A 14089-nucleotide genomic window follows, 5' to 3' on the forward strand; every position below is an offset into this window, starting at 1 on the left:
TTTCCTCTGTATAATCTCAACTATACCACTGGCTGTCTATACTGGCAGTTATCCAGTTAAGAACAGCCTTTCACATTTCACTTTGTGCTTGCTTAGACCCTGCCAAGACTGAAAATCGTAACGAGTTTTTTAAAATCCCCTTTATAAATATTCCCCTTCCCTTGCCCCATTCCCTAGGATGATCTGATGACTTCCTCACAAGACGATATACGGAATACTTTGCTAATTTTTACATTCAAAGGAAATGCTTTCTGGAAAGAATACTGTGAGACAGAAATGAAACAAGAAAGGTGAAGAGGAAGAATGAACAGGGGTGCCAAGATGTGCAAAACTGTGGGGATTCAAAGATTCATAGCAAGAGAGAAAGAAAAAGAGAGAGGAGCAAAGCAGATATGCAGGTCAACAGACGTCTTTATTCAGAGTTTGAGCTTTGTCAACACAGGCAGTTTGGGGGCAGAAAGAAGCGCATCTGCTGCTCTGTGATTGCACAAGAGAAGCTACCACTCCTTTTCTTCACAAAGAAAAAAAAATGGCATTTATCGCAAGTACAGCAAGGCATATTAGGATTCACCTCCCCCATTCTTTCTTCCCTCTTCCTCCTACCATCTCCCTCGCCGCCTCCCTTTCCTGTTGGAAAAGAAAAGGTGGGAGGGAGAGGAGGACCCACCGGTCACAGACAACGCTGTGGGATTCTCTTTCTTCAGCTTTTACCAGCCTATGGGGGTCAGGATGCTATTGGTTCAGCTTTATGTGTGATATGGTGCCTCTCACTTAGCAACAGCGAGCAGGAGAGGCAGGAAGCAACGCCACCTGGCTCAGCAAGTGTGCGGATGGTTTAAAACGAGCCACTCACTCACAGGGAGAACAGAGGAGGGGGGAAGAGAGAGCAGGCTGAGCTTAATATATTGTACTATTAAGAGCAAGGCTTAATCAGGGTGTTAACAACAACCAACAGGCAGGCTATGGGGGAAGAGCAAAGACTGGACAGGAGTTATTTTTAATGAGTATCTACGTATAAATCATACATGTTGCCTTCCTTTTTTTTTAAAAGGACAGACTACACTGTGCTGCCTGGATGGTGGGTGGGGAGAAAGATGGTTATCTAGGCAAAAAATAAGAGATAAGATGCATCTAAAATTCTACAGTGAGTTTACTCGGTTTTACTTTGTTTTCACACCAGGGTGTTACTAGAAAAGAAAAAGTAAAAGTGGGTGTACTTGAAAAAGCAATTGGCTACGTAATCACAGGATTTTTTTTTTTAATTAGTCAACACAGTAGCTATTTCTAAATCTTAAAATCCATTTTAGCATTTGAAAATTAACTTTCTGGAGTGGAAAGTGGCAAAAGAGAAATCTAGCAGAGAAACATCTCTGCTAGAAAGATTTTTTTTTCCTTTGCCTCCTTTGTGGTAAAAGGGAAATTTCTAAGAAGGATGCTGATAGAAGTTCTGAAAGCTCACACTGCCTGAATATAACAGGGCTCATTGCCAATAACAACAAGGAAATGTATTCTGCTATTCCATATTCTTTCATTTCTCTTAATAGAATTTGCCTTCCCCTCTATTCTAGGTCTTCCCGCCAAACTTTAGAAGGATTATCTCACCTACTTATCCATCCCAACCCACCCCACTGCATAACATCTAACAGCCTAGCCTTAGACCCTAAAATATAAATGGGAAAGCATCCTTCTTTCGTTCGTAGAGAAAAAAATGGGAGTCAACTTGGGTCTTTCATTGGAGTCAACTGGTGCCCTAGAGACAAAGCCCAACACTCTGGAGGGCACAGATGGGCCTCTGTCTGCCCTTCTAAACCAGACCCAATTAACCCCTTAGGCTCTGAGGAGTAAAAGCCACTGACTACAGTGACACCTACTGCTCGGGGTACAGCTGTACATCCTCGCACCGCCTCCCAGGTTCTCCAAAGCAGCCATGTGTTCCACTGCCGTGGGCTCCACTGAACACATTTCTCTCTGCTCTGGGCTAACACCTGGAGAAGGAAATTTTCAGCCCCCTCATTCTAAGGATGGCCTCTGAACCTATAAATCAGGGCCTTCTATAGGCAGGAGTCCTCACCCATGGGAATACAACACGCTGTCAATCTATAAAGTGACCAACTCTCGCAGCGATTCTATACAAAAGAGGCAGAAAACATAGTCTGAGAAGAGCCCACACCTCCTTCAGAATCGCTACCTTGAAATTACTTGTTAATCCTGTTTGATACCCAATGAAGTTATCCTGGAAAAAAAATGAAAGTTTTACTCAGTATCCACTGAATTTTGCTATACAGGGAAAAATATGATATGAAGCACTAGTACAATCAAGGTATCTAGAAACTCCACTTCCAGTTTATACAATAGCTTGTTAGTTAATCCATCCCTTCTACTCTATGCATTTAGTCAGATGGCAGAAATTCCCTCCCATTGAGAAAGAAATCCATTTAATTATGGAAGTCAGTTATACTTCTCTGAAGGCATAGCAAAAATTCCTCTATGTTGAGGACAATATCTATAAGTCTAGGAAGGGCAAGAAACAAAATCATTAACAGAACCCTTGACTTACCCTAAAATAGACACTGAGTTTAAAACCATCTTAAAGGTGTCAAGAGCAGTAAGTCAGATGATTATAAAATTAATGGTTCAGGCCAGTCACAATGGCTCATGCCTGTAATCCCAGCACTTTGGGAGGCTGAGGCAGGTGGATCACCTGAGGTTAGGAGTTCGAGACCAGCCTGGCCAACATGGTGAAACCCTGTCTCTACTAAAAATACAAAAAAATTAGCCAGGCGTGGTGGTACATGCCTGTAATCCCAGCTACTTGGGAGGCTGAGACAGGAGAATCGCTTGAATCCAGGAGGCGGAGGTTGCAGTGAGCCGAAATCGAGCTACTGCACTCCAGCCTGAGTGACAGAGATGAGACTCAGTCTCAAAAAAAAAAAAAAATTAAATTAATGGTTCAGGAGGTACAGCTTGTTTCATTTTTGACAAAGAATATCTAACGAATCTTCACCAAGATAGGTACACACTGAACAGAAGTAATGCTGAAAATTTAAATATTACCCTTCTTTCTGGATGCTTGAAGTGTTATGCAAATATTTTGCTTTTTATTCCCAACCATTCTACTTGGAATAACTGGATGTTACATTGTGCTATTCTCATTTTCCCACTGAGAAACAGAGGAGCTCAGCAGTTCATCCAACGTCACAGAGCAAGCTAGTGGAGGCGCCGGGATAAGAACCAGGCTTCCTGATTTAAAGCCCGTGACTTAGCCACTGGGCCACCAGAACCAGGCAATTCTCTCTGAAGCCCTGTGAGGACTATCTCAGACCTCTTACTGATACCTCACCCCTGTGTGTTAATTTGTGTTACCGTCTCAGAGTTGCAATGGCCCTATTTCCATTCTTCTTTAAGTTTCTTACTTTGTGACCTCATTTATCAGTTGCTTTCATGAAATGGGTTAAGGAAAAAAATGAGAATGTGGGAGGCTTAAGTAAAACCTACGAAAAGCCCAGAAATGGTTCACACATAAGTTAAATAAAAGGCTAAATTTACCCACCTATACCTACCTAACTCTAATGTTTTAGCACTAAAATGAGTATTAAGTGAAAGGATACTTAGAAAAGCAGCTATACTGGCTCTCCACTGAGACACGGATCCACAAGGTGGAGCCACTGCGGGGTAGCCAGCTACATAACCAATTAATAGCACAACAGTGACATTTTCATTCTTTTCCATAGAATTTCCCACTGGCAGAACACACCTGAACACACATCTGTGTGGGGTGTGCAAAGTGTAATTGTGTGACTCTGCCATGGATCACCTAGACCCCGTGTAGGAATCTGTTCAGTGGGGTATGGGTGTTCAAAATGGCATCCTTAAATGTCCCTCAAAAAACCCATATATTTCTTTTTTTTTTTTTTTTTGAGGTGGAGTCTCACTTTATTGCCCAAGCTGGAGTGCAGTGGTGTGATCTTGGCTCACTATAACCTCTACCTCCTAGGTTCGAGTGATTCTCCTGCCTCAGCCTCCTGAGTAGCTGGGATTACAGGCATACACCACCATACCCGGCTAATTTTTGTATTTTTAGTAGAGACAGAGTTTCACCATGTTGCCCAGGCTGGTCTCGAACTCCTGACCTCAGGTGATCCACCCATCTCGCCCTCCCAAAGTCTTGGGATTACAGGCGTAAGCCACCGTGCCTGGCAAAAAAACCCATATATTTCTATTTGATGAGAAGCTCCTTCCCTCAAAATATTCTTATATCTGCAACTATTTCCTCCTAACAGGGAAAGTGAGTAAGTGGTGATAAATTTGTCTCCATGAATCAGTTCTTTTCCAGAAACTGTTTTAATATAAAGCCCAATATCCAGTATCACCCTAACAGACAGCACTTATGAGGTATATAGAGCTGAAAGAGGCCCACAGAAACCCCCTCATTCAAAACCTAAAAGTGTATTAAGTCAATCATGATAAGAGACAAATACACTCTGGGTAGTTACACATTCCTCAGACGGTAATATGAACAGCAGCCACCGACAACTGGTGCTCCTGGTTTAGTGTTGGATAGGCTGTTTGGAAACTTGTCTCTCCAAACAGCCCCTTCCAATATTCTTCATGTCTTCATGGCAGCAGCATTCTCTCAACACCAACCTGGAAATGGGGGGCACTCCTACTACTCCCCTTCATCTCCTTCACTGACTCAGCATGCCCCTCGGACCACTGCTTTGGAATGTCTCACATCTGGCTTTCCCATTCCCATCCGAATTAGGTAATTCTGTTTGGGAGCATACCACTTTACACCAGTATTACTGCAGGGGCCACATTCCCAGATCCTGGCTTTTCTCCTCTGGGCCATCGGGCTTTGAGATACCTTAACTTAATCGTGCCATATCTAAAGAACTTCACCACAACATGGTCCATGCAATTCTACTTTTATAAACAAAACCAAACATGGTAACATACATGCATGCACATATTTATTTTAAAATTTTTGACTGAATATATCAGGGGCCAGCAAATCTTTTTTTCTGTAAAGAGCCATTTAGTAAATATTTTAGGTTCTGAGGGCCAAAGGACAAAATCGAGGCTCTAATGTAGGGAGAAAACACATTTCTACAAATTTTTGGTTGGCAAAATTCAAAACTTTATTTCTGGACACTAAAATCTGAATTTTGTTCAACTTTCACATGCCATGAAACATTACCATTATTTTGAAAATCTTTTCAACCATTTAAACTTGCAAAAATCACTCTTAGCACATGGGCCATACAAAACATCAGGCAGGCTAGGGTTTTGGCTCATGGGTCAGAATGTACGTCAAGTGGTTAAAACTGTGGTTAGGTCTAAGAAGAGGAAGTAGAACAAAAGACAAGGTTTTTTCTCTTCACTTTTAAATTAAGACATGTCTGTATTTTATTATAGACATATATTACTTTTATGTTCTGAAAAACAGTAACATGGGCAGGCGCAGTGGCTCACGCCTGTAATCCCAGCACTTTGGGAGGCCGGAACAGGCAGATCACCTGAAGTCAGGAATTCGAGACCAGCCTGGCCAACATGGTGAAACCCCATTTCTACTAAAAATACAAAAACTAGCCGGGCATGGGACGCATGCCTGTAATCCCAGCTACCCGGGAGGCTGAGGCAGGAGAATCACTGGAACCCAGGAGGAAGAGGCTGCAGTGAGCCAAGATTGCACCACTGCACTGCGACCTGGGCAACAGAGGGAGACTCCGTCTCAAAAAAAAAAAAAAAAGAAAAGAAAAGAAAAAAGAAAAACAGTAACATAAGACTTGATTCATTGGTTTGTTGATTAAAATAAAGATTTCTTTAGAGCTTTCAGTTTCCTCCATATTCTTCCTATTTAACTTAGTTTCTATGAGGATGGTGGTCTCTTCATTATCTGCCTAAGATGCCTTGCACCTCTCCTGTTTTCACACGTTTGTTGCCTGGCAAAATCACACTCATATTTCAAGGCTTATTTCTTATTTCCTAACGTTCTCCTGCAAGGCTTCCACATCTATGACAGTATGGGGAAATCTTCAGTCATCTGATCATCACTTGTCAGTTAATTTAGTGTGTGTTTAATCTCGTCTCCTAATTAGTATATCAGCTCCCCACAGGCAGGGACCACCTTAGAATCTTCAGTGGCCTCCAAGGCACCAAGCACAGCGATGAGTCCCCACCTCTGTCTTCCACAAATACTGGACAGCTATTGATTTGGTCAACCTATGCTAAAACACAACTGTAGAATATTTTTAAAGTGTACTAGAATCAGTGGATGAAAGAAAGATAGAAATTTTGTCTTCATTTTTAAACATATTTCTTAACTTTTAGAACTGTCCAACAATGAAATATGCTACCTCTTGAAATAACAAATTTCCTGACACTAAAAAGTATTCAAAACACAAGTGTCTGACCATCTGTCAGGGATTCTGTAGAAGGAATTCCTGTATTATTTAGGTCAGACCACACGGCCTCTAAAGTCCCTTCTCACTCAAGAATCTCTTATTCTGATGAACTCTATTCCCCTACCCCAAATATCTCATTTATTTCTTAAAATTAAGTGATTCAAAGTAACAGGGGTGACAAGTTCACAACACAGATAATAAAAAAAAACCTACTTCTTTGTCATTTTTTGAAATTCTATGGGTATATAAAGATGGTATTAATTAGTTTGTTTTAAGCAGGCTTGGTATGTATGATAAACCACCAGCACTAACCTGAAGAAAAAAATCCCAGAGCAGTGAGAATTTTTTTGCCCCTTATTTAGAAAGATCCCTGGGGATGGTTTGCTTATTGTTTTTGTTTATTTGTTTGCTTATTCTTTTCACTATATTACTGGGTTGCTGTCACTAATCAGCTGCCTGGACGACAACATGTAAATCATAAATACATCTATATTTTGCTTATCTTGAATCTGGCTTTCTAGAACCTTTAGAATTCTGCAAAATCCCCAGATTCAAAAGGAGCTTAGAAACAGATATTTTACCACCTCTTGGGAGGTAAAAATATAGCTCCTTGAGCACTCAGCTACATGTAAACATGACTACAAAAAGCCAAAGGTACAAAATTACACATCATGAGTTCTTTCATCAAGTATATCTACTCAGTACCCACCATGGGCAGTCAGGCAGTGCTCTAAGTACCAGAGACAGATGGTGACCAAAGACCCAGATCCTAACTGAAGGATTTACACTGGTCACCAAATGAAGGGCCAGTTAGTAGTTTAAAAAAAAAAAAGGTAAGAAATACATTGACTGGCTTGCAGTACCTATAAAAGACATTATCCAAAAACCTAGAAATGGAGAACTGATGATAGGAGAGAAAACAGAAAAAAGAAAAGCACATGGAAAGAAGAGAAAGGGGAAAATGAGGCAAGATGAGAATCAGCTGCAGCAACAGGGGTGTGTGGCATTAGAAGTAAGGGCTGGGAGCCCCAGACACTGACAGAGAAGAAAGGATGGCTGAGATGTTCCCAGAGGCCAATACTGGAAAGCACTGGGGCGCCAGCTCCATGTGTGTATGCAGTCCTCCATGCGGCATGGCTCCTGCTGCAGGGGGAATTCCCTTTACCAAATTAACTGGTGTTCAGAGTAAGAAATCACCTCTCTACATTCCAGTTTCCCAAGTACTTTCTAAGGGTGTCATGACATCTGTTCTAAAAAGCACCTATTTCAAGTCCTGGCACACAGCATGCCCTCAGCTAATCTTAGTTTTCTTTTCTTTTCTTTTTTTTTTTTTTAAAGACAGAGTCTTGCTCTTGTCGCCCAGGCTGGAGTGCAATGGCGCGATCTCGGCTCACCGCAATCTCTGCCTCCCAGGTTCAAAAGATTCTCCTGCCTCAGCCTTAGTTTTCTTTTTGTATTCTCCTAGAGTCATTAAGAAAAGGTTCTGGCCCTGCGCGGTGACTCACGCCTATAATCCCAGAAATTTGAGAGGCTGAGACGGGCGGATCACCTGAGATCAGGATTTCGAGACCCACCTGGCCAACATGGTGAAACCCTGTCTCTACTAAAAAATACCAAAAAATTAGCCAGGGGTGGTGGTGGGCGCCTGTAGTCCCAGCTACTCGGGAGGCTAAGGCAGGAGAATCGCTTGAACCCGGGAGACAGAGGTCGCAATAAGCCGAGATGTGCCACTGCACTCTCCAGCCTCAGCGACAGAGCAAGACTCTGTCTCAAAAAAAAAAAAAGGTTCTATCCCACTCTAAGTCTTCTGATCATAAAAACCAATCAGGAGTTACAATAATAGCTTATGATTATTGAGTGCTTACTCTGTGCAGGCACGAAGCCAGGAACATTAATGGATTATCCCAACAGTCCTATTACATGGGGTCCATTCTGGGGCAACAACAACAACAAAAAATGCAGATTAGAAAAGCTTAGTAACTTGCCCAAATCAGAAGCATAATAAATAACAAAGTCAGGATTTAAGCCAACCAGTGCCCAGCCTGGGCAATGAAGCAAGACCCCCGTCTCTACGAAAAATTTAAAAATTAGCCAGGTGGGATGGCATGCATCTGTAGTCCCAGCTATTTGGGCGGTTAATGTGGGAGGATCGCTTGAGCTCAGAAGTTCAAGGCTGCAATGAGCTATGATAGCATTCCAGCTTGGGCAACAGAACGAGATCTTGTCTCTATTATATATATATTTCCCCAAAAGACTAATATGGACTCCAGGAGTATTTGCCAGAAGATTTTTTTTTCTGAAATTACAGAAAGAAGACAAAATCTTTTTGTCTTAAATCTTTTCTGTTTTACCAACATTAAAACAGAAGAAACCTAAGAACAGCCCCTTGGTCAGCAAAAGAATGTTCTAAGGTGATGGCTAAGATAATATTTTATCAGTCTTTAAGAGAAACGCAATATTCCGCATAGTTGAATATCCAGATAACTTGAAGATTATCGCTGAAGTAAAAGGCACTTTTATGGAAATCTTTCTAAAACATTAGATATTTATATTCCTGTATTCTTAAACAGAAAATACCATATTCTTGATGGTTTATTATGAGATCATCGTTATGAATATTAGTAGTAATAATGGGCTGCAATTCAATTATCTTTGGGTTGGGGAGGTATTAAACTCATTAGGGCTTTTTGATCTTGCATTCAAGGACCCCAAATACCATGTCTTCCAGGTCTCCAAGTCTGCTTTTTGTATTTCTTTTCTTCCTGTTCTCTGCTATTTTTGTCCTTGTTGCTTTCACCCTGCTTCTAGTCTTCTTCCTCATTTTATACATGGTTGGCTTATGGAGGATCTCAAAGTGACTCCATGCCTTGCCAGGGTTCAGTGTGAAGGCCCCCACCGCCACCACCACCTTTCTCTGAGTTGTGGGGTTTTTTTTTTCAACTCACTTCCAGGTTCAGATGACTGAGGTTGATGAAAGACCTCTGATTAAACGTACAGTTACTCTGTCCCTTTTTAAAAATGCTTTTTTAAAAAAAATGGAATGTAGATTACTGAAGAAGTTTTACTTTATTCATTTAAGAAGTTAAAAGGTACCATACCCTTTCAAAATTAAATATTAACAAATAATGGACAAGGAAGGAAAAAATTGCATGACTCTTTCAAAAAGTAAAATAGACCCATGTTTTCCCTTTGGAACACTTTGTCTTTGAAGCCCTTCAAGCTCAGAGTACTTTTTTTTTTAGTAGTGGGTCTATGTTGCCCAGGCTGGTCTCAAACTCCTGGGCTCAAGCAATCCTTCCACCTCAGCCTCCCAATGTGCTAGGATTACAGGCATGAGCCACCGTGCCTAGCCCCAAGTTTAGAGTATTTTTAAAAATTACTAATTTAAGTTTCTTTGCTAAGAAAAGAGAACCTAACATTTGATGTAATTTTTTCATTATTCCTGCTGAGTAGATAGATATTGGACATAAAATGAACAATCACATATATTATATATAATAAAATTATATTGTTAGATATAATACATGTATATATATATATATGGCATTATTGTTAATCTATATTTTCTTAGTATTTGTATCTTGCCTGTCTCAGTTATTTCATGTTCTCATGTTTTAACATAGTGTCTAACTCATCATGTTCTAGCTTTCTGGTATTCCCATTATTTTAATCCACTATCATTTTGTTTCATTAGTCTCCTATTTGAGCATTTAATTTGTTTTATAATTTTTTTCCTGTTCTTCTGAATTAATCCTTTGGGTCTAAACAAGGACCTTCATGTTATTGGCCCAATAAGAAATCCAAACACAGTTAGAACAGAGAATAAAGGAAGAAAAAGAAAAAGAGAATCGGTATGAGACAAATGAAAGAAGAGTCTGGGGCTATGTTTTCTCCTGAGAAGATGGCATCTTCTATATAAAACGCCGGTAATGGCATCTGTTCTTCTGCATATGCTGAACAACACTGTGATTCAGGTGAAGATTGTTTTTTTCAATGTGATTTCACTTTTGCCTAGATTATTTAAATGCAGAGCAGAATCAGAAGGCAGTGCTTTCTAGGACAACTCTCATTATTTCTACTGGAGCTTTACTTTCATTTAAAAAAAATCTGTCTAAAAGAAGCAAAGAAACAGGTACCTTTATATTACCAAAAGCTTTAGGGCATCTTTAAGCTTGAGGAAGAAAAGAAAACCTCTTTCTTACTCATTGTAATATCCCTAGCACAGTCACGGGAGCATACCAGGTAAAATCAACACAGTCACAAGGCAAAGTGGGGATTCAATGAACACTTCTGAGAGCAATGCCTGCTGGCAGGGAGGGTGTTCCTTTCCCTGAAGGAAATCACTTCTCTTTACTGTACACAGACTTATGGATGGAAAAGTTTCAAACATCTGATAACACCCAGTTCCTAAGGAATGTGCTCAGGAACAGCTGCTGACTGAGGATGATTTAGGGCAAAGGTGAAAAGAAATGCTCTGACATTCTCATTATCTGATTATTAAGGAGATTTTAAAAATACTTATTATTTTAAAAACTCATAAAAGAAATGCATAAAGAAATGGCTGAATGTCAAGAAAGGAATTACCACATCTAGGCCAGAAGATAGTCTGATATAGGTCAAATTTCATAAATTCATATTAGCATATTCCTCACTGAGAGGAGGCTGGGGTGAAAACTGACCTATATAATTTTAAGTGTGTCTACAAGAGCTAAAGACCAAGATAAGATATAGGAAAAAATTAAAGGATTTGTTAGTTTTGCAGAAATTGTCAGGGTTTCTATAGCATTATAATGGCAAAATCAAATATGCATCTTTTTCAAAAAGAACAGCAAAAGGCATCTAAAGCATTGGCAAAAATGTTTTTCTCCAACAAAATAATTATGATATATGAAAGTCAAAAGATCCCCAATTTTTGATATGATGTGATATATATGATAGAATATCTATTTTTATTTCAATTAATAAAGGTCTAGAAAAGTTTAGCTGGGGTTTGCAAGGACATCAAAACAAAGGAACAATAGAGCCATTAGAAGCTACAAGCCTAGGCTGGGCGCAGTGGCTCACGCCTGTAATCCCAGCACTTTGGGAGGCTGAGGCGGGTGGATCACCTGAAGTCAGGAGTTCGAGACAAGCCTGGTCAACACGGTGAAACCCAGTCTCTATTAAAAATACAAAAATTAGCCGAGTGTGGTGGCGGGTGCCTGTAATCCCAGCTACTCAGGAGGCTGAGGCAGGAGAATTGCTTGAACCCGGGAGGGGGAGGTTGCAGTGAGCTGAGATCGTGCCGTTGCACTCCAGCCTGGGCGACAGAGTAAGACTCTGTCTCAAAAAAAAAAAAAAAAAAAAGTCACAAGCCTGAAATCAAAGTCAGGCCTGTGAATCAAGATGGGCTAAGTTCTCTTAATTTAACCCCCAATATGCTTCCCCAATACAGCTCAGTAACACAGTTCTGAAAAACATTATAAGAATTTCTTTGAACAGGGCATTAGATCTTTGAACAGGGCATGTCTAGTCACAGCAAATGCATAGAATGCCATTTCAAAGACAGACACTAAATTAAAAGGAAAGTTAACAGTCTTGCTTATTTTACGGATTTCTCCTACAAAGAGTGTCAGATCCTTTATTAATGTTATAAAATAGTGTTTGAATAACCATTGCCTAAGTAAAATGTCACTATTATAAATGATATTCTGATGCCCTCAAATATTCTAGAATTCATTTAAATACAGGTATTGAATATTTTGTTATTCATATAAAAGTAAAATGTTTGACCTATTCCTAATTACGATATTAATATAACAATCAGCGTGACCACATATAATAGTGGAAATCTACATACATATGCCATTGGATTTCAGTCACAGGGCCCAGGTTCTAGCTGAAATTCAGCAGAGCATCATCTGCTAAGTTAAATAGGAAGGGAAAAGCAGCAACTGGAGCCCCAGAAATCTTTGTTTTCATTCCAAGTTACCATGAAGAAATATGATGGCTCAGGTTTTATACAGTCAGGAGTGACAAAAAGGCACGCACGTTTGATGTGGACTTCTACGTGGTCCCCACAAGCAGAATTGGATTGTCAAAGCTCTACTCATCTTCCCTTTATTTTTCCTGTTCCCTCAGCCACCAGCACCAAATCCTAGAGCCGTATTTCATTTTTCAGTGAACACCCTGGGAACAGTCATCGCTTTTTACAGGAATCGGACTCAAAAGAAAACACAGTCCCTAAGTAAGTTAAACAGTTCAGTGCACCAAGGAGATTTATCAGAGAGAGAGATCTGCCTAATGAAAGTAACCTCCTAACTACGATATGGGAGACTGCATTCACTGTCTAGTCAAAAAACATACTGCCTCTGATACAGGAGGAAGACAGCAATCTAGCACAGCTAAGATTGGCAGGAAACAAAATGCTGTTCTTAGAAGTTCTGGTATGAAAGAATTCTGAAGGATTTCTGTAATCAAAACAATGATCAAAGTTCACCATGATGCAAGAATTCCAGTACGTCAACTCAAGGCAAGTAACAAGACCAAGTTTGCATGCAGTTACTAAAATACAACCTTGGCCAGTAAAAATTTGTGCCAACCTAGACATAGTTTTCACCTATTTAATGAAAAATAAGAAAATATGATGTTCAGAATGGAAATGGTTTTCATGAGGAAGGCTGTTGCTTCTCTCAGAAGCGGTCACCTTAGTCCAAAGCTTGTTACTTAGACTTCATTTGGTGTTGGCAGAAATTACCACTAACTGGCAAAAGGAACTGAGAAGAGAATGACAATATGGTGCCTGTATATGCAACTGCCACAGAGCCCAGTGTTTTGACATTGTTACTGAAACAAACTCAACTATTTATGAGAGCTACATTGAATCAGACAGTTGGTGTGGCAGAAAAAAACATCTGTTTCTGAAGTCTTTTTGTCTAGAAAGTCACTAAGAAAGGAGGAGAATGTACAGCAATCCCCAACACAAATACCTCCAAAAAACCATAAATAGCATTGTCAAGTAGGAACAGATACCTCCCGCCCCCATTATAACAACACCCAGCAGACTTGGTTACTTAGGAGCCTCAGATGACGCATCACTGTGGACAGCAATCTCTCTTCTGGATAGTTCAAAGTTTCCCTCCTCACACACTGAAAAAGGTTTTTTTAAAAAATTATTTTGAGTAACATACCTTCAGACCCTTTTGCCTTCTTAAGCAGAGAACATGAACAAAATTAAACTTTTTTCTTGATCTCTGGATCATGAAAATCAGACAGTTTAACAGGCAGTGGTGAACTGTCTCCCACACCATCATGGTTCCAGGACCAGCAGCACTGGCATCACCTTGACAGAACTGCAAATACTGTACTCAGACCCCTCCCAGACCTATTAAATCAGATATTCTTGGGGCAGGGCCACGCTATCTATGTTTAAGCAAGCCCACAAGATGACTGTGATGGAGGCTAAGGTTTAACGACCAGTGTCAGCTACTAAATGACTCTAAATTGCTGCGCTCTGAGAGTTTTCTGTCTGCTTTCAATGGGTTTTCCTACTACTTGCTATTATTATTTATTTCTGCCCACCAGGTAGCTGCCTTTGTTAGTTCTACTCTCTTCTAATTTGCTGTATCTAATCTGCTATAAGCTTAGAAATCAGTTGTTGCAGTTGCTAAAATCACATATACAATACAAATAGGTAGGATGAAATG

The 14089-nt window shown here is 40.1% G+C and overlaps 1 protein-coding gene and 1 long non-coding RNA gene across 4 annotated transcripts in view, besides 2 other annotated features; one reads left to right on the forward strand and one right to left on the reverse strand.

Annotated features, from left to right (window-relative positions):
* MAML3 (mastermind like transcriptional coactivator 3) overlaps window positions 1-14089 on the reverse strand; it is a 437432-nt gene that overhangs the window by 331883 nt on the left and 91460 nt on the right. The window lies entirely within an intron of this gene.
* LOC124900783 (uncharacterized) overlaps window positions 1-14089 on the forward strand; it is a 52131-nt gene that overhangs the window by 37001 nt on the left and 1041 nt on the right. The gene's annotated exons all lie outside the window — the stretch shown is intronic.
* Window positions 128-664: an enhancer, noted in NCBI's record as "NANOG-H3K27ac hESC enhancer chr4:140969917-140970453 (GRCh37/hg19 assembly coordinates)". NCBI's record gives its function as "activates a minimal SCP1, AML or CMV promoter by ChIP-STARR-seq in naive H9 embryonic stem cells {active_cell/tissue: H9 hESC(naive)}" and the evidence as "EXISTENCE:reporter gene assay evidence [ECO:0000049][PMID:30033119]".
* Window positions 665-1200: an enhancer, noted in NCBI's record as "NANOG-H3K27ac hESC enhancer chr4:140970454-140970989 (GRCh37/hg19 assembly coordinates)". NCBI's record gives its function as "activates a minimal SCP1, AML or CMV promoter by ChIP-STARR-seq in naive H9 embryonic stem cells {active_cell/tissue: H9 hESC(naive)}" and the evidence as "EXISTENCE:reporter gene assay evidence [ECO:0000049][PMID:30033119]".

Source organism: Homo sapiens, chromosome 4 (assembly GCF_000001405.40).
Source record: "Homo sapiens chromosome 4, GRCh38.p14 Primary Assembly".
Classification (NCBI taxonomy): Eukaryota; Metazoa; Chordata; class Mammalia; order Primates; family Hominidae; genus Homo; species Homo sapiens.